General features: G+C 34.9%; 2 long non-coding RNA genes across 3 annotated transcripts in view; one reads left to right on the forward strand and one right to left on the reverse strand.

Moving 5' to 3' along the window:
• Positions 1 to 1407, reverse strand: part of LINC02839 (long intergenic non-protein coding RNA 2839) — a 51947-nt gene extending 50540 nt beyond the window's left edge. For both annotated transcript variants that reach the window (NR_183481.1, NR_183479.1), the window contains exon 1: positions 1311 to 1407. This is a non-coding gene — a long non-coding RNA (long intergenic non-protein coding RNA 2839). The remainder of the gene's footprint in view (positions 1 to 1310) is intronic.
• Positions 1408 to 1662: 255 nt separating this feature from the next.
• Positions 1663 to 20620, forward strand: LOC105375930 (uncharacterized). Its single transcript, XR_929113.2, has 4 exons — positions 1663 to 1987; positions 2831 to 2891; positions 18477 to 18602; positions 20488 to 20620. It is a non-coding gene; the product is annotated as an uncharacterized LOC105375930 (long non-coding RNA).
• Positions 20621 to 22012: the final 1392 nt, after the last annotated feature.

Raw genomic sequence — 22012 nt, forward strand, 5'->3', positions numbered from 1 at the left:
TGCCCTGCTTGGTACAGAACCTCCATGCTACCAGTGTGCTGGGCCCCAGTATCATCCGCCTTCTTTACTTGAAATAGGACTTCCACACTATGAGCGGGGGTGAAATAGGGGAAGAAAGTCCCAGGTCTTCTTCACCACATACCTTCCTAGAATAGAGCTTGTGGAGGTAGGAGGAGAAATGCTAGCAGCCTGCTCTTCCTGAGACAGAGAGATCCCTGTCTTCTTGACTGCACGTGCCTGGGGTAGAGCTCTTGTAATGTGAAGTTGGGAAACGGAGGTTGGTAATTAAAGAATCTTGGCTAGAATTCCACAGACTCTACTTGTTCTTAAAAAAATTAAATAGTTTTTCTTGAATGAATTTTTATGCATTTTTTTCTGGTGTTTCTAGGACAATTTCCAGATGTTACATTATTTTTTAATAATTTTCATCTCGAATTGCTATTTTTTCTGGAGAGAGAGAATCTGCCAAGATCCTTTTTCATTTTTTTAGAATTATCCCAGCAGCTTATTCTTACTCTAGTTTCCTCTACTTTTTCCTTCCTTTAGCTTCTCTATTTTTATTTAAGTATTTATTTAAATAGTCCCTACTTTTTCCCCTTTCAAACTCTTCCCAAATTATTTAGAGGTCTGACAACTGCACTTTGCAAGGTCTGAACACAGCTTACCCTCAACTTTTGTATGTTAACTATTGTTGGTGATTTATAGGCCATTGGGCTTCTAACTTTTCAGGATTCCACATGAAAATACAGTACCCTTATCTGCAGGGAATATGTTCCTAGACCCCTGTTGGATGCTTGAAACCACAACTAGTACTGAATCTTATATATATTATGTTTTTTTCTATGCATTATATACTTGTGATAGAGTTTACTTTATAAATTAGACACAGTAAGAGATTAGCAACAATAACAAATAATAAAATAGAATAATTATAACAATATGCAGCATCACTACTCTTGTGCTTTGAGGCTACTATAAAGTAAAATAAGGGTTATTTGAACACAAGCTCTGCAATACCACTACAGTTGATCTGATAACCTAAACTGCTACTAAGTGACTAATAGGTGGGTAGTGTAGACAGTGAGGATATGCTGGGTAAAGGGAAGACTCATGTCCCAGGCAGGACAGAGTGGTGATAGCGACAGGAGACAGAAAAATTCCTAGGCAGACAGAAAATTCCTAGGCAGACAGAGACAGGTCTCAGATGAAATCTGACCTTCAAGCCAAGAAGAGCTTATAGCCTGAAAACCCGAGCTGACAGTTCCGAATAAAATTCATGACCACAGTAAGAACTTATATCCCCTTCTTACCCCCTCTCTCTTTATTGGTTCCTTCTGAATGATGCTTTTCAACCAACCAAACCCGAGCTGACAGTTCCGAATAAAATTCATGACCAGAGTAAGAACTTGTATCCCCTTCTTACCCCCTCTCTCTTTATTGGTTCCTTCTGAATGATGCTTTTCAACCAATCAAATGGTGCTTGTTCCAAGACCACCCATGGACCAATCAGCATGCACTTCCCCATTCTAAGTGTGTAAGAACCCTAGACTCAACCTCATAGATGGCTATTCATTTTCACATCCCCTCACAGTGCTGAGAACTTTCTTTGTGTTGCTCAGTAAAATTCTACTCTGCCTTACTCATTCTCTGGTATCCACATACCTTATTCCTTCTGGTTACAGGACAGGAACCTGGAACTCCCCGAAATTGCGGGAGCAAAAGAGGTGTAGTGCTCCTGCTTGCTGAGCAGCGGGTGGTGGGAGTTAAAAGAGCTGTAACACTCCCTCCAACTCCCCAAACAACGGTAGAGAAGAAGCCGTTGGGTGCTACTTCCTCCTGCTCACCGAACTACGGGAGTGAAAAAGCCTTAACAATGGGATAGTGTGAGATTTCATTGCATTACACAGAACAGCACACAATTTAAAAGTTATGAATTGTTTATTTATGCAACTTTTCATTTAATATTTTCAATTATGGTTGACCATGGGTAAGTGAAACCTCAGAAAATGTGAGTGCGGAGGACTGCTGTATTTATCTTTAGCCCTAAATAGAATCATTTGTTATCTGTAATCTCAAATTTTCATTGTTTTAAATACATTTTATTCGTGTGTGTGTGTGTGTGTGTGTGTGTGTTTCACTCATATGCCTGCCTCAATGTATTCTAGTTAAAATGTAAGTTCCTAGGTTACAGAAGCCAGACCTACACATTTCTCTTGGTTCAATGGCTTGCACACCGTCATGAAGTAAAATCAGTGCTAAATGCCTGATTTAGGTGATGACAATGTTTAAGCTAAAATGGAGCATGAGGTAGTAGAATCTTTACAAGAATCTTTAACACCAAGTCACAAGACTCGACCTCAAGAAGAAATAGGTCCAGTATAATAGTCAACCTCCTGATAAAAAATGAAGAGTTCACTCGTTTCCGATTATTCCTTTAACATAGATTTATGGAAGAAACGTTTCCCATGGGAGTGATCATTGTTTCACCTTCCTCACAATATTGTAGTGATTTTTCAAATGATATAATAATGATTGTAAAAGTATTCTAAAAAAATTATTAAAATGTATAAATATAAGGTCATGTTATTCATCACAATTATTTTAAACAGTATATAGTTCTTATGACAACAACTAAAATCAGCATTTGTCTGGTGCACTCAGTTCACTATTTTTACACACAACTTGAGATTACAAAGAAAGTCAAACTATTAGAACCTATATACAAAACAAAACTCTCAATATGTGAAACATTACAGGCATGCTGTGAAACTTCTCTGTCCTTTATAGATGAGATACTATTTTGCTAAGAAAATTTATGATTATATTTTAGAAAGGACACTGGACTGATAGACAGCTCCAAGTCAGACCTTTAACATTCTTCATAGCCTTGGGTAAGTCATTTTAGCCTCACTTTCTCTGAGTGCAAATAGTACCTGTTTAGTCTAATTTGCAGGGCGCTTTGAAGGATCAAATGAAATTCGTGTGAAAAGATATTAAAGTTAAAAAATATTATATCCTAAATCTTTGGTGTTAGTCACTAACAGAATATATTCAGTTGAGTTATAAAGTTCTCAGAGAAAAGCTTCAAACTAAATATAAACTGTATTAGAAGTCTAGAAAAGTATTCCCTTGTTCCTGAAAGGATAAACTCTTGGTTTCTGGGTAATAATAAGTAGAAAAGTTAACATCTATTGGAAGATGGTTCTCATAGAAAAATTGCAGGCATGAAAAAAGGAGCCAGAGGCAAAGCACTTAGAGATAGAGGCATTACCGTGTTGCTTTGGGAGCACATTCAGTCCATAGTGGAGCAGGATTTTGGCAGAGGATAAGGAGAAGAGATTACTTTGTATACATTTTCCTGCTGGATATGTGACATTTTGGTTCATTATTCACCCACTTGGTTAGTTTGATTACTACAGTGGCCTGAGAATCTCTGGAGAAAAAAAAGGGAAAATAGATGAGCCAAAGATATTTGATATATTAGAATACAATTAATAGCAGCAGAAAGTAGTCTGCTGTTAGGGGATGTGGAAGAATAAATGGTTAACACATGCCCTGACAAGTTCTGCTGCTGCTGGAAGAATTCCATGCTGGCATTATCAGAAATGCAGAGTCATTGACTTCCAGGAGTAATAGATTTTTGCACCATTTTTTTTTTCAAAGAAGAGTTAGATAACTAGGAGGACTGATACAAGTTGTTAATATAGTAATTATAATAGTCATTAAGTAATAGTAGTTTAGAACTTCACATGTAGTTTCACTTAATTGTTATGACAGTCCAGCAAGGTATTCGTCTCCATCTTAGAGCTGAAAGAGTTTAAGTACCTTGAGTACAGTAATAGGTAGTGGGTTAGGATTCAGACCTAAAAGGTTCCATTGAAGTGTAGGGGCAGCATATGGTGATTCGACATGCAATTCTAATTTTTGGTTGTTATGTTCTTTGCCTACTTCTTTGATTTCCAAATGCTAATTGTTAGACCCATGTTTCTTCATGTCAAAATTTTCACTGGTTTACTGAGTATCTTTAGGAAGAATTCATGACTATATGCTGGAAAAATCTGCATGGCAAAATTAAGAGCTGGAACATGCATATCTGTTCTTCCTTGTGCCAGTCTAAATTTCTGATTCATAAAATTTGGACATCTTTACACCCTATTGCCGATATGAGTAAATGGATAAACAACTATTAAATGATTATATCGTTTCATCTCTGAAAAAATATTAGTTAGATCTAGGGGCCAGGTTTTTCTTTTTTATCTAAATGTTTAAGTCATTTATAATCTTAAAATGTGCTAAAACAATAAATATGTCAAAAAATATGAATGAGGACAGTTTAGCATTAAGCTTCACTTTGAAATTGTTGATATTTCAAGCATCTGCTATACAGTACAACTCTCATTAATTACGAAGACCAGAATCCACCTGCCACATGCAGATATCCCTTGAGGAAGCTTGCCTACTCTTCCTTTTTGTCTGAGCACAACACAGTAGTTTTTAAGATTCTTTCCATGAATTCTTCTTGTGTTCTTTCACTGGGGCCCGCTTCCAATTTGTGGCTGAAAATATTAGAGTGGTTGCTAAGAAACGCTGAAGTTGGAAATTTATGAGTTTTCAGAAGGTTGCATTGAAGTGTAGGGGTAGCATATGGTGATTTGACATGTTTTGTTCCCTAGCCAAGGAGAGGGGTAGCTGTCTCTGATCTCTGTAATTATTTCCCAGCACTTTAAGATGCCAAGCTGAATTTAAAAAACAGCAAGGCATCAGGGCTAAGGAAAAATAGAATGTACTTTTTGTTTCCAATATGTAGGACCCAAGTATTTGTTGTTCATTTTTTGAAAAAATTAATTGGAATAGTTTTGAAGCTCTAAAAGCAGATAAGTTTTACCTAAAATAAAGACATAAAGCCTCATTTATTTAGCTGAAATAGAAAGGAAGAAAGAATACATATTAATGTGGAAAAAAGGCAGCACTGAAATGAAGGTATTTAATAAGAAAGAGTTATAAAAGAAAATTTTAACATATAAAAATTTATTTAATAACTATTTATTGGAAGAGAATTCAATTTTTCTACAACTCAAGAGTATTTGTGAAAATTAGGAGACAGAGTAAGGAAGACAGATACAAATAAGGAATCAATAAATGAGTAAGGAATTGAAACCCTCATACTGCATAGGTTTTAATTTGTATTATGACATCCACGTGGTCTCAGGGGAAACATCACGAAAATTTTGGATGAATGAATGGAATCATTCATTCGCTTTATCATTCTAAAAATGTTCACCAAGGGCCAACTCATGGTTTCTGGGGCCATGTTAGGAACTAGGGATACAAAGAAGAGAGAGACATGGACTTTGCCCACATAAAATCTATAGTTTGTGAGACACAGGCAAATAAACCAATATGGAACCACATGTGGGAAAGTATAATGATACAGATATGCCAGAGGGCTTTGTGAACACAGAGGGGCACTTAACATAATCATGAAAAAGTAGGAAGATTTCAGGGCAAGATAATTGCTGTAAGAATTCTAAAACATCAGTGGTTTAAAATGGTAGAACTTTTTCTTGCTCATGCATTTCTATATATTTGATGTGTTTGGCAGGGCCCCTTTCACTTGCTGTTTCAGAGACTTACATCCTATGGCTCTAGAATCTCCTAGGGCCTGCTGGATTCTGCATCAAACAGGCTGGGAGCAAAAGGGAGTAGAAGTCTTCTTTATGGGCCAGGTCTGAAAGTGGTACACAGTTTACTGGCCACAACTTAAGTTACAGGGCCACATTTAACCTCAAGAAAAACAATGAACTAACTAGGAGGAATGAAAAACAAGTTTGTTGATTCACTAGCCTGGTTATGACATAGCTCTCTGCAGAAAACATAATCTCAGCTGTGCCTGAAAGATGTAAGCCTGGTAGCCAGGTAAAGAAGATGGGAGAAGGACATTCCAAAATGAAGGAATATCAAGATAAAATATATAAGTATAAACAAAAACTTATGAGGCCAGGTGTGGTGGCTCAAGCCTGTAGTCCTAGCACTTTGTGAGGCTGAGGCGGGTGGATCACTTGAGGTCAGGAGTTCGAGACCAGCCTGGCCAATATGGTGAAACCTCATCTCTACTAAAAATACAAAAAATAGCTGGGCGTGGTGGCAGGCACCTGTAACCCAGCTCCTTGTGAGGCTGAGGCAGGAGAATCACTTGAACTCGGGAGGTGGAGGTTGCAGTGAGCTGATATCATGCTATTGCATTCCAGCCTGGGTGACAAGAGTGAAACTCTGTCTCAAAAACAAAACAAAACAAACAACAACAACAAAAAACTTATGAGACATTTTAAAGACCAGTGTTGTCGGGGAATAAATTGCATGTCAGGATTCATGAGATTTGAAGTTTCACTTCTGATGATTTTTCCTCAGCTACACTTTCCAGTATATCCAGTTGCTTATTTGACATTTCTTAGGGTGACTGAAAGACACATCACATTCAACCCGTGGAAAATCAATTGCAGGATCTTCTACTCTGCTTCCTGGCCCTTGCCCTAGATCCTCTTTAAACTTAATCTACCTTCATCTCATCACACAAATAAAAAATTTGTAAATGATTCTTGACATCTCCTCTCCCTCATCCTATAAAACGAATCTATCACCAAGTTCTACATATGCTAAGTCCAAATCGTTTCTTGAATATGTTCATTTCTCTCCATTACCACTCTACTCCAAACTAACAGCATCTCTTGCCAGATCTATCACAACATGTGCCTAAGTTAATTCCATCCTTGCTATTTATTTTTGCCCCCTTTTAGGCTCTTATTCACAGTGATCCACTTGAAATCAAACCTGTTACCTCCACGATCATCTGCATTTATTGTATAATCACAGTAGTCAGCATTACTCTACATATAGTACATTGATTGTCTCATTCAGTCCCCATAGGTGCCTATAACATTGGTCCCATTCCCATTTCATTTCATCAATAGAAACTTAGGCTTAGAAGGCTTAGGGAGCATATTCAAGCTTACTCAGCTATTAATCAGATTAACTCTTTACAAAATGTAGACTGTATGTCTCCTGAGCCTATGTTCTAAATCACTCTGCTATATTTTCTCCCTCTGTAGGCATTTAAAATATTTATTGAATGAATTAATAAATGAAGAAAAAGTGGCATATTAGTCAGTGTCATGTAAAATAGAGGGTCATGTGAACGTAGCTCATCTTGTCCATGTGGTGAAAAAGAACCACTAAAATATTTTCAGAAAGCAGGGACAGAGTCAAATCTGGAGATTAAAGATGTCTTCACTACATGCACAAGAGATGGAAGGGAAGAGGAAAAATTTTAAAGCAGAGAATATTTCCACTGGACTATAAAATAAAATAAATTGTGAAGGGGGGGATAAGATTATGTCAGAAAGAGATTGAGGTTCTTTAAAGTTCTTGGGGGCATTTGGGTACACTTTCTTTTTCTCCTTCATAGCCTCATTTCCTTGCTCTGTATATCACCTGGTCCAGATTTTATAATGGTGAATAAGACATTATATGTAGATTGACTGCCTAAATAATGTTATTCAAGAACAGTAAATTTGTTTCATTACCTTCTTGACAGTCAATCCCATGGTGATCAGGATATGAGAGAGAAATGAATGTAAAGTTAATACAGTCGAGTTTAAAAGGATAAATATAGTCACAAAAAATATTAATAGAAAGATAAAGTAGCCAAGCTGGGGGAACCTTACTTTTGTGATTGCAGAACACAGAAAAGTTAGTAAACATGTTTTAATTTTGGCTAAGTTTTACTTATTCTACTGAGTCAGAAACAATGGTTCTAAATAATCTCAAACAAACTCTAAAATGTGGTTAAATATAAGCTTACATGCAAAAGAGAATAGAATGACATGCAGTTTTAACCATTTTTATAAATGATAAGTAAATACAGCACATAAAATTTATGTGTGTATGTATGTAAGAATAATTAAAATATAATTCTTAAACTATCTCTCTTGAAATATTTATTTACTCTGACATCTATGTATGTGACTGAATTTATCAGATAGAGTTAAATAACACATGATAAAATATGTTTGGCAAAATTTCTAGTTTCTGCTTTTAATGTCATAAATCTATTTAGGTAAAGGGTTTGATATAAGATTAAAATAGAAAACCTAATATATAGTAATAATACGCAGTGAATATATCAGAAAATGTAATCACAAAAATACTAAATATACAGTCTTTGCAAAATGTTATCCAGTTTTCTGAGCATATGGGTCTTGTATTGTCTGAAAATGTAGAGTCCCTCTATGCCTTATTTGACTTTCAGTGCAAGGAATTATAAAAGCTAGAGGTATAGATGAATTATTTGTAGGAGAGAATCTAGAGAGTGACACAGAAGGAGAAAGTAGCAAATGGAAAGGGAAATTTCTTTTATGCTCCTTTCTGTAAATGCACATTTTTTAGTTTAGGGAGAGATTTGAACTGAGTAATCCTTAATTATTCTATTAGCATGAGGTTCATCGGAGAAAAACATGAAAAGAAAGCTTGGATACACTGTTACAATTCTTTCTTTGTATTTTCTATTTACTTTTGACACTTGTGTTTTTACTTCTAGCTTTGGAGGGTTTATCTACTATTAATAACATATAAGTGAATTCCAATAATTAAAAATTTTTCATGATTCCAGTATCATTTGATTAAGAACAAATATATATCAATCAAGAGAATCACAATGATTTACGTAAGAAAAGTAAAGGAAGATAATTTTTAGACCTTTGCCATTGAATAACGATCAATCTATTTCTTACTTGATAGGTAAGAATGAACAATAAAATAAAAATATAAATTTTTAAAACTATAGCAACAGCTACTGGATTCTGTGTTGGCAAAGTAAAGCAAGGATACTTGTGAACATCTCATCTTTGTAAAAGTTTCAGTGCCCAAATATTTCATCCAGATACTATAAACATAACATATTTAATTCCTTTGAAAACTGTTTTTATAAGAACAGATAACTCTGTTGAATGAGAAGCTCTGTTTTTGCTGAATAGACTGGCCTTGTACAATGACTGAATCAAATGATCATTGGCTTAAATATTTTATTCTAAAAGTCAAGCATGTTAATACTTAATTTCAATCTTTGCAAGCAGGTAAGAACTTCTTCTATTTTAAAAATGCATTCAACAAATAAATCTTTGTTGTGTTCTTCCTCAGTGCCAATCTCTAGAGATCTGTGATGAGTTAGAAACAGTTTCTGCCTTAAAAAGCCCACAATATTTCTGCATAAAAACAAAGCTAATAAACTAAGTAAGAAATTGGAGACCTCAGGAATTGATTATGAATATAAACAAAGTCTTGTTAAAGTATAGATGTCACTTTTTCTGGTGGGATTTAGATATATTCTGTAGCTGCTAAATTTCATAGGGGAATAAAATAATAATAAGCCTGTTCTATAAGGGATTGTACAAAGCAGAAGTTGCTAATATATATTTCCTAGAAGAGTAATTTTTTAAATTATACTTTAAGTTCTGGGATACATGTGCAGAATGTGCAGGTTTGTTACATAGGTATACATGTGCCATGGTGGTTTGCTGCACCCATCAACCCATCATCTAGGTTGTAAGCCCCACATGCATTAGTTATTTCTCCTAATGCTATCCCTCCCCTTGCTCTATAATCCCTGACAGACCCAGTGTGTGATGTTCCCCTCCCTGTGTCCATGTATTCTGATTGTTCAGCTCCCATTTATGAGTGAGAACATGTGGTGTTTGGTTTTCTGTACCTGTGTTAGTTTTGTGAGAATGATGGGTTTCCAGCTTCATCCATGCCCCTGCAAAGGACATTAGCTCATTCTTTTTTATGGCTGCATAGTATTCCATGGTATATATGTGCCACATTTTCTTTATCCAGTCTATCATTGATGGGCATTTGGGTTGGTTCCAAGTCTATGCTATTGTAAATACTGCTGCAATAAACATACTTGTGCATGTGTCTTTATAGTAGAATAATTTCTAATCTTTTGGGTATATACTCAGTAATGGAATTGCTCAGTCAAATGGTATTTCTGGTTCTAGATCCCTGAGGAATCGCCACACTGTCTTCCACAATGGTTGAACTAATTTACACTCCCACCAACAGTACAAAAGTGTTCCTATTTCTCCACATCCTTTCCAGCATCTGTTGTTTCCTGACTTTTTAATGATTGCCATTCTAACTGGCATGATATGGTATCTCATTGTGTTTCTGATTTGCATTTCTCTAATGACCAGTGATGATGAGCTTTTTTTCATGTTTGTTGGCTGCATATATGTCTTCTTTTGAGAAGTGTCTGTTCATATCCTTTGCCCACTTTTTTCATGTTTATTACTTTTTTCTTGTACATTTGTTTAAGTTTCTTGTAGATTCTGTATACTAGACTTTAGTCAGATGGATAGATTGCAAAACTTTTCTCCCATTCTGTAGGTTGCTTGTTCACTCTGATGATAGTTTCTTTTGCTGTGCAGAAGCTCTTTAGTTTAATTAGATCCCATTTGTCAATTTTGGCTTTTGTTGCCATTGCTTTTGGTGGTTTAATCATGAAGGCTTTACCCATGCCTATGTCCTGAATGATATTGCCTAGGTTTTTTTCTAGGGTTTTTTAATGGTTTTAGGTCTTATGTTTAAGTCTTTAATCCATCTTGAGTTAATTTTTGTATAAAGTGTAAGGAAGGGGCCCAGTTTCAGTTTTCTGCATATGGCTAGCCAGTTTTCCCAATACCATTTATTAAATAGGAAATCTTTTCCCCATTGCTTGTTTTTGTCAGGTTTGTCAAAGATCAGAGGGTTGTAGATGTATGGTGTTATTTCGTAGGGTTCTGTTCTGTTCCCTTGGTCTGTCTATCTGTTTTGGTACCAGTACCATGCCCTTTTTGTTACTGTAGCTTTGTAGTATAGTTTGAAGTCAGGTAGCATGATGCCTCCAGCTTTGTTCTTTTTTGCTTAGGATTGTCTTCACTATATAGGCTCTTTTTTGGTTCCATGTGAAATTTAAAGTAGTTTTTTCTAATTCTGTGATGAAACTCAGTGGTGGCTTGATGAGGATAGCATTTAATCTATAAATTACTTTGGGCAGTATGGCCATTTTCACAATATTGATTCTTCCTATCAATGAGCATGGAATATTTTTCCATTTGTTTGTGTTCTTTCTTATTTCCTTGAGCAGTGGTTTGTAGCTCTCCTTGAAGAGGTCCTTCACGTCTCTTGTAAATTGTATTCCTATGTATTTTATTCTCTTTGTAGCAATTGTGGATGAGAGTTCACTCATGGTTTGGCTTCTGTTTGTTATTGGTGTATAGGAATGCTTGTGATTTTCACACGTTGATTTTATATCCTGAGACTTTGCTGAAGTTGCTTATCAGCTTAAGGAGTTTTTGGGCTGAGACGATGGGGTTTTCTAAATATACAATCATGTCATCTGCAAACAGAGACAATTTGACTTCCTCTCCTCTTATTTGAATACCCTGTGTTTCTTTCTCCTGCCTGATTGCCCTGGCCAGAACTTCCAATACTATGTTGAATAGGAGTGGTGACAGAGGGCATCCTTTTCTTGAGCCAGTTTTCGAATGGAATCCTTGTAGCTTTTGCCCATTCAGTATGATATTGGCTAGAGTTTGTCATAGCTCTTATTATTTTGAGATATGTTCCATCAATACATAGTTTATTGAGTGTTTTTAGCATGAAGGGATGTTGAATTTTATCAAAGGCCTTTTCTGCATCTATTGAGATAATCATGTGGTTTTTGTCACTGGTTCTGTTTATGTGATGGATAATGTTTATTGATTTGCATATGTTGAACCAGCCTTGCATCCCAGGGATGAAGCCAACTTGATCGTGGTGATAAGCTTTTTGATGTGCTGCTAGATTCGGTTTGCCAGTATTTTATTGAGGATTTTCGCATCAGTATTCATTAGGGATATGGGCCTGAAATTTTCTTTGTTGTGTCTCTGCCAGGTTTTGGTAGCAGGATGATGCTGGCCTCATAAAATGAGTTATGGAGAATTCCCTCTTTTTCTATTGTTTGGAATAGCTTCAGAAGGAATGGTACCAGCTTCTCTTTGTATCTTTGGTAGAATTCGGCTGTGAATCCATCTGGTCCTGGGGTTTCTTTGGTTGGTAGGCTATTATTACTGCCTCAATTTCAGAACTAGTTACCAATCTATTCAGGGATTCGACTTAGAGGAGTAATTTTTATACAAAATTAAATTATCCTGAGGCATGAGTATCTTGTCATAGATATTTAGGTTAGAAATATATTCATTAGTAATTATTTTTATTTGAGGAGAATCTTATCTTGCCTCTGGATATCATTATTACTCTATAGGAATAGCATGCAACAGAATGACATATTTATATGTAGGGAGAAAAACATGCCACATCTAATTTTTGACAAAAGACAGAAGATTGGAGATGGAAGAATAAAGGAGTAATTGTGATACAAAGAGGTCACATCCTACCATCTCTTGAATCTAATTTTGGAAGCTAATCTTTTTGCATATGTAGCTTTACTACAGTGATGTTTGTTGACACATGCTTAAAATAAGATTGAAAATTTATGTACAATCATTCGAATATGGATACATGTATATATAGTTGAATATGTAGAAATATATATCTAGGATGCAACTTCAGAAGTGATATACAAAGCAGTATAATTACATATTTCATATTAGACATTTTGTGCTAAAATTTTTCCGAATTCCAAGTAAATTATTGTTTTCAAAGGCCTATAAAATGTGAGAGAATGAATGTGTGATAATTCATGAGCTTGTTGAATATAAAATATTAAAAACATTTATGAGAGGATTTGGACTTCTAAACATCCCTACTGCTATCCTACTACTTCTCACCAGTTAACTGTTCCTAGTGGTTTTGTAAAGTAACTCTTCATCATTCATTTGGCCTATCTGAGTATCCTTAAATATGTTTCATATTAGAGAGACAATGTAAATGTTTAATATATTTTTCTCTTTGATAACCGATTTTCCATTTTCAGAGTAATGAATTATTAATACTGCCTTTGTAACCAAACATTGTGTCCAAAATATTTTATTTCTCTATTTCTCTGTCTGATCAGCCCACTGGTCACTTTTAGATCCCTAAGAGTGAAACAGCCAGACTTGATGTTCCTATAGTATGATGTGATATGAAGTGTACAACACCAGCCATAAAGTATTCTTTCCCCCACAAATAAATTAAACATGAATGTATATAAGCTTTTACATCCAACTTCTCATCAGTACAATATGTGAGGGCTAAAGGTAATTAACATGTGCAGAATACAGGACATTTTCTAGTGCAATTGGTTCAGTTCCAATAGGTTTCTTGCAGAAAAAAAATTTAAAACAGGAGAGTGGGTCTGTTTAATAAAAAGGACTTGAGAGATATAACAGTCATATACAGTGAGTGGATTTTGTTTAGTTCCTGATTCAAATAACTCAACTATATAATGACCTTTTCATGACAAAATGGGATTTTGAAAATGGACTAGCATTAAATGATAGTAAGGGGCTATTTTCAATTTTGTTCTGTGTGAAAGCGCCATTGTGGTTACATAACAAAGGGTACTCATTTATTTATTTTTATTTACTGCAACTTTCAGAGAAGAAATGACATAATGTTTGGGATTTGTTTTAAAACAGATCAACAAATATAAAAACTGTGAAGAATAGGTGAAATAATGATACAAAAAATGTTGATTGGTGTTGAAGTTTGATGTTGGTTTTGTTACATTTTTATATGTTCAGAAATTTTTATATTGAAAATTGTAAATTTTAAAAAGCTTAACAATGGTTAGAGTTGCATAATCTTCCATCAATATGCCTACTATGCAATCATATAAGTGATGTTGGTGATTAATGTAACAAAATTGAGAAAATATGACAGAGAAGAAAGAGCAAAACTTTTGAGACATATCTGGATGTGATTATTTGCCTACCTAGTGACCTTGGGTAAGTTTATTAACCTCTTAGAGTTATAATTGCCCCCTATATGAAGCAAATACATTTTTCTATAAGGCTAAAATAGAATAGGCATTAAAAATGGCCAAGAAAATGTGTGGCATATATATTAAACCCTATAAATGTTTCCCATAATAATTGTTTTTGTGATGATGATGTTGCTCTTGTTATTATTCTCATTTCAGAATTCTTATTGGTCTTGGTTTAAAACTCTATTCGGGGCCAGGCGCGGTGGCTCACGCCTGTAATCCCAGCACTTTGGGAGGCAAGGTGGGTGGATCACGAGGTCAGGAGATTGAGACTATCCTGGCTAACATGGTGAAACCCCGTCTTTACTAAAAAAATACAAAAAAATTAGCCAGGCTTAGTGGCAGGCGCCTGTAGTCCCAGCTACTCAGGAGGCTGAGGCAGGGGAATGGCCTGAACTGGGAGGCAGAGCTTGCAGTGAGCCGAGATCGCACCACCGCACTCCAGCCTGGGCGACAGAGCGAGACATCATCTCAAAAACAAACAACAACAACAACAACAACAACAACAACAACAAACAAAAAGCTCTATTAGGTCAAATGACTCTAACACTTTATCTTAACTTTATTGGCATTGGTGTCTTTAGAAAAGGAATCATTTTACACTCCTTTCCACCAAAGCTAATGGTCTCAAATAGTCTTTTGTTCAACAAATGTGTTTTAAGCATCTACTATATACAGGCACAACCCTGCTTTAACAGCTGAAAATACAACACTGAACAAGATACAGAATGCTTCTGTCCTTGAGCAATTAATATGCTACTAGGAACATTACACTATGATTGGAAACATATGAAGATTTGTGATAATCTGTACAAAAGCATTGGGATGAAAAATTTGAATATGACCTATCTATACCAAAGTCAATATTCTCAACTAAAATAGTATGTTCACTGTATTTTTCTAAATATCATAACCAATAAAACTCATTTTCTATTTCTTTTATAATTTTTATTACATGTTCTAGTATTCATTTCTACATGTTCCATAAAATAAATAAGTGCAGTAAACTCTTTGTAAAATATAATAGATTTTAGTTATTTGGTTAAACTGGATCACTTTATTTTCATTATTTATTTTCTAATCTTATAAATAACTTTTTACGAATATTGCTCTCTGTGTTCAAAAAAACCTGAGATATACGGCATAGTTTTAAAGATATATATAATTTTAAACATGTGTGTTTAGATAGGATACACATATTTACAAGTAATTAAATATTAATAAATTAATAATTTATTAAATTTTCAAATAATTTAATATTAGTAATTAAACAAAAATATAGCTAATGGTTTGTTTCCTCCCTTCACATCTACTATAGTCAGATAGATAAGCAAACCATCAGTTAGACCAGAAAGCTCTGCGTTATCATTTTCAAATTTCTGCAGCAAAATTGTTCCATTTCTTTAGTTCTGCTTATGTCACAGCATTTCTGGAGTAAGAAGGGAGGCCAATATTTAAAACTCTGACCTGTGGCAAGCTATTAAATTATTAATGTAACCTACTGGATAATGTGGTTTTTCCCCCATAAAGTAATTTCTTCCTATCCCTCCTACCCCTGCAAAATTTTAAGAAAGCCATTACATTTTCTATTTTGAAGGTAGGTGTTACATAGTTTTTGTTGTTGTTATTGTTGTTTAATTATAAGCCTGAAAGACAAATGTATTTTAAAAACCCTCTCACATTCATTTTCAAATTACTCACATTATGATCCCGACTAATAGTATATTATTAGCCTTACTGATGTCTTTTTTTTTCTAAATTAGTTTTTATCTTTATAAGTACAATTGTTACTGTTAAGTCTTTATCATTACAGGCAGTTGTTTATTTTTAAATTTTAAATAGATGTTGTAATGATCTTTGGCTACATTGACCACTCAAGGGTTTTCTGTCTTTGGTGATTTTCAGAAGGCTATTTTGTTTCATCTCCAATGAGAGACTAGATAGAGAATAATCATGACATCAGTCCATGTGCTCATCAGTTCATCTTATTTATTATAAGTTATGATAGACAAAAGTAGTAAAATAGAAGAAAGAGTACAGATCAATGACTTTTGGAAGTGCTATGGTAACAATCTTTTGTTTTATCACAGACTCCCAGGAATAAAGATACGGCTATAAAAATATGAAATTATTACATTAATTCATAAACTATTTATTGAGTGACAGGTGCCAGCACTAAGCCTGAGGCTGAGAATTTAAAGATGAATAAGGAAATATTTGCCCAAGATAGCTCACAGTTTAGTAGAGATCACAAGATTCAGATCGAAAGGTCACAGGGGAACTAGGGGAAACTATAGATAAAAATCTTTTTTCTGTCTCTGAAATTGAATAGCATGTAGTGCGGCCTTATACATAAAGTTTCCTATTAGCTCACAAAATAGTTAAAGCCTCTGCCCTTTCTGAAATATTGTTGAAAATATGTTAGATTCAAGGATCTAAGTATGTTTTATTCTTTGCTCAAATTATTTGAAGGGGGGCATCTCTTTTTCTTAATCTGGTTTTTATTCCCAAGAAAGGCTGAAAAGCCATGTCCATGCTGGGTAGCCAGGAATTCAAGGGGAAAATAAAATAAGATTTTCATTAGTGGGCATGGAATCTGATAGACTGCAAAGCTGTTCATAGACTTGCATACACCTCACAGCTTGGGTCAGGAGGTCAAGTTCAGCAAGGGCCTGAGCTGGCACAGACTATACTTTCCCTCTCCGCATGTGCCCAGCAGAGTGACTGTGCTGGGACTAGGGCAAATGCACAGGATTGTTTTGGTGCTTTACAAAACATTATGTGTTTACCAAAGTTATGAGAACATTCAAATAGATGTGCCAAATACTGTAAAGAGACCTGTGTATGCAATTCTTGAACATTTTCCTGTGCCGATGTATATTTGCTCTTTCAGCACATAGCTTCAAATTACCTACATGTGCCAAAAGACAGAGTAAAATATAGTAATTACCTTCTACCACCATTCAAATCAAACCTTGAAATAACAAATACATTAAGAACTGTCCTGGATAAGTGAATCCTTCATTATTTCAATTCATAAACCATACCACGGGGACCACAGACTTTCTAACATAGCCCCCACTCATGCCTCAGGCATCACATTTTCCTGTAAACACAGACATTTCAAAAAAATGAATGATAAAATAGTCCCAATTTAGCTGAAAAACTGAATATGTAATGTTGATTTTAGAACTATTAAATGTAAATGAACTTTAAACAGCAGTATAATATTTACCATTATACATAGATTATTTATAATAAAGTACCAACTTCAGAATGGCCAGGAGAACCTTGCAGATGAGATGAGCTCTGGACTGCACTTTGACAAAAATTCTTATATACACTAAGGTGTGTAAATGAACTTAACTCCTATTTTCAATTTGACATTCCTAGAAGACTTAGAAAGGAAAAATAAACCACCAACATAAAAATTTAAAAAATTAATCAGTTGTGGCCAGGTGCCATGGCTCATGCCTGTAATCTCAGCACTTTGGGAGGCCAAGGCGGGCGGATCACCTGAGGTGAGGAGTTTGAGACCAGCCTGGCCAAAATGGTGAAACTCTGTCTCTACTAAAAGTACAAAAATTAGCCTGGCCTGGTGGCACGAACAAGTAATCCCAGCTACTTGGGAGGCCGGAGCAGGAGAATCGATTAAACCTGGGAAGTGGAGGTTGCAGTGAGCCAATATTGTACCATTGCACTCCAGCCTGGGTGACAAGAGCAAAACTCCGTCTCAAAAAAAAAAATAAAAAAAAAAAAAAATCAGTTGTGATAGTTGCCTTTAAAGGGCAGCAGTGAAAATGCTACACAAATGAAATATTTTACGTATTATTTAATTGACTATTCCCATTTTCAAATTATTTCAAAAAATTATGTTCAAGAATATCAAGAAAAACATGAGCTGCTGAAAGTATCAAACACTGCCTAGCCATTCAAAGAATTGTTTTTCATATTTTAACTACCACCTGGCAGTACAATTAAATTATTTCTCTGACTAATTGAGTGCCAGCTTCTTTTTCTATTTTAAATTGAAGCAATGATGAGTTAAAGTATGCAAATACCTTAGAGTTCTCAGAGGAAAATACAACGTACATATAATCACAATTTAAAAATCATTAACATTTTAATGTAATAAAGTGTCTTGCATTAAGCTAATCCTTAGAAAGTTATTGATTTGACAAATGATACTCTCATGTTTTTTTTTTTTTTTTAATCAAACATTTCGGATTTGGTGATCATTTGTAGTTTTAATTACAATTGAAACTGGGTCCTAAAATTTAGCTCACACTGTACTCAGATGTATAAAGAGAAATATAATATATTTATTTTGTGTTTAAGCTAATTTGGATTTTCTGATGGGAGGAAGTATAACCAAGTGCTAAACCTATTTTAATTTTGTTTTAAATGCAGTGTTAGAATCAGTTCCTTCATGTAGTGATCTAGTCTTCTGCTTGCCTCCCCCTCCCCTTTTAAGATAACCTGCAGATGTACCAGTCAATGGAAGCGGCTTACATGGTTTTTGACATCAGAGGGAATACTGGGAATACAGAGGGAATACATCAACACTGGGAACCCTATTGTGTCTTTGTGGTGTCCTTTGGTAGGTGATCATCTCCCTTGTCTGCCTGGTTGCTAGGGACCTCTTAAGGGCAAAGCATGGAGAGGGAAAATTAGGGACATACATATCACTCTCTTACTCTCTTTTTCTTGCCAATCCTCAGGCTAGAAAATGGATAGCCCTTTTGTTTGGTTTCTTTATGGTATCTTCCTTCCACTATGCAGCAAGCCCTATGCTTTCAAGCTCTAGGTGAAAGAGTTAGCAACCCTTTTGGAGAACACTAAGATCTGGAAACTCCAGCTTTGGGCTTTCATATGTTAAAAAAGGCAAAGTGACCACAAAGATACTTGGGGAAAAACATCTTAACACAATAAGCTGATCTGCAAGACTATCATAATCTTGCTAAATAATTCTGCCTTGCAGAAATTGAATACTAATATATTCTTTCTCTTTTCATTTCTTCTGTAAGAAATCTTGTTTTCCCTGTAGATAGAGGATGCCTCAGGCCAACAAAGTGAAAGTCAAGTACACAGAAAAGTAAAAGAGAAAGCATATTAATATTTTTGATATTTTAAATTTTTTTCTAGCCAACTCTGTGTCACACAATTCTTTGTTGTTGTTGTTTTTAAAACTTGGTTTAATTGTCGTGAGGTATACTATATTGAAAATGTTATAACATAGACATTTAATTGAGGCTGCAACAGTTAACGTGTATGTACTCATTTCTCGGTACAACGCATGTCTCTGAAAACCATATTCTTTATTATGTAATTCAAATTGATATTTATGTTTTCTTTTTGAACACATTCTTCTTCCTCTCCTACTTTTCTCCTTATGGTTTTACCCTTTTGCTTGGGGGTCTAAAGTCTGCATTGTTCTCTCTGCTTTACATACCATCCATCACTTAGGATAGCGTTAAAAGCCCAGTGACATTTTTTCCTCCTCTATGTATACTCCTTTGTAGCAATACCTTTATAATTTAGTCTGGTGAATATATTGACATTTATTACTTACAGCGTCCTTTTCTGTATACAATGTCGTAGTTTCAGGTTTTGTTTTTTACATTCTTGCATTCTCCCTAACTTTATTCATCCATCTATGATACAAACTATACCAAATTTATTTCTAATCTCACTTTCTCCAAGAAGAGTTCACCAATTAACACTAGTCCATTATAATCTTACTTTTATTCTATTTACCTATATTAGCTATCTGATTCATTATTTGTTTCAAAAGATAAGATCCAATTTATCTTTTAATAATGTTGATGAAGTATTTTTGATTAGTCAAATTAAGATCTATTTCCATAATTTACAGAAAGACATACTATTTGCATATTGGGTGTATTTCTATTAAATACATTCCTATTTTTAAAATATCTACTTGCAACTTGCTTTGGTTTGATCTTTGTATATTTTTATTTACTTCATTCTTTACTTAGCACCCCTCACTTCATCTTATTGGTTCTCAACAGTTCTAAGAACTTTTTGTGATAGCAAAAATTCTTTTTGATAAAACAAATGAATGTGTTTTCCATTTGAGCCTCTCTTTTGTGATTCTGCCCTGCAATGCTCATGCTGTTTTCTCTATCATCCCAACTCCCATTATTCAGTTTGTTTCATTCTTTTCATTTTTCATTCAATCTGTGTTGTTTGGTTTCTTATTCATCTCTTGTTTATAAATCTTCCTAAGGTTTTTATAATTTATTAGATAGTTTATTATAATCTCAGTCAAATTTATTTTTACCATCCCTATACTAATAATAGGATTCTATTTGACATTCAAAATTTTGATATATAATTGGTATTTCTTTATAATTGTGATATTGTTATTGCTGATTTGAGTAGAAACCTTATTAAGGCATTAATATCATCTATTTATTTTACACATTCACAAACATTCATGGATATCTCAAATTGCTTTTCAGACTGCCTGGAAATATTTGCTGCTATCAACAAAGCAGGCACTCTGGGGAGTTAAAAATTCATCATCAGGCCGGGCACGGTGGCTCATGTCTGTAATCCCAGCACTTTGGGAGGCCAAGGAGGGCGGATCACGAGGTCAGGAGATTGAGACCATCCTGGCTAGCACGGTGAAACCCCGTCTCTACTAAAAATACAAAAACAAAATTAGCCGGGTGTGGTGGCACGTGCCTGTACTCCCAGCTACTCGGGAGGCTGAGGCGGGAGACTGGCGTGAACCTGGGAGTTGGAGCTTGCAGTGAGCCAAGATCATGAGACTCCGTCTCAAAAAAAAAAAAAAAAAAAAAAAAGAAAAGAAAAGAAAAATTCATCACCATTATCAAGAACAAAATACAAAGATCATTCAGATTCACAGTTCCTAGTTTCAAAGAGCTCTTCCCACATTGTTGCTTCTATCTGAAGTCCCTTTCCAGCCATGCAAATATATACAATTATCCCTGAAGACTCAGGACAGTGCCATTTCCTTCACAAAACCTTCTCTTGTTCACCTCTCTCCCAGCAACCAACCCATGTTTTATATCCTCCCTCTGATTAATGTCCAATGCTTGTCAAGGTTTATCCCCTAATATTGTATATTCTGTAATGAAATGCATTTTTCTGAATGTGGATCTTCTCTTCCTCTGAGACTAGAAACATTAAAGCCAGACACTGTAGTGTTAATTCATCTTTATATCATTAGTGACCAGAGAACAGTAGATATACAATAAATACTGAAGAAATCATTGGAACCCACATAAAATGATTTTTACAGGCAGGATTTGGTTACAGTAAGTGGTCAAAGAAACTTTGCAAAATGAAATCTACTGGGGATTTTGTCTCCTCATGTGTACAGCTGGTCTCCTTCACTGAATCACATTTATACACACTCATTGTACTATTTCATGCATAGTTTGCCCTTAGCTGTATAAATCTGTTTGGAAGCACAAAGCAGTACCATGATGGTGGGTAAAATAGTGCTCATCATTTGACTCCCTTTTATGATTGACATATTCTTGGTGAGATAGTAACATGAGCTAGGCAATTCTCTATGGATATTTAAAATGTGCTACCTGGTCACTGTGGAATACCTGAAAATATATAGATAGAGTTTTCTTGCCTTTAGAAATTCAAAGAAGATTATGTATAAAAATCAGGCTCAACACTTTTTCTGAACTTTGTTATAAGACTTACATATTAACCCTTATAAGAAGGATTAAGCTATAAATGCTAGCTATACAATATCTTATTTTTTTAATGACAAAGATTTTTATAAAAATAAAACATACAGTAATGTTAATAATATGTAAAGTTTGGATGTAGAAAAGATATGTTTCCAGCAATATTGCAAACTAGACTACCTGAAGACTTTTTTTTTTTTTTTTTTGAGACAGGGTCTTACTTTGTTGCACAGGCTGGAGTGTAGTGGCACAATCTCAGCTCACTGCAGCCTTGACCTCTTGGGCTCAAGTGATCCTCCTGCCTCAGCCTCCC

Source organism: Homo sapiens, chromosome 8, assembly GCF_000001405.40.
Source record: "Homo sapiens chromosome 8, GRCh38.p14 Primary Assembly".
NCBI classification, from domain to species: Eukaryota; Metazoa; Chordata; class Mammalia; order Primates; family Hominidae; genus Homo; species Homo sapiens.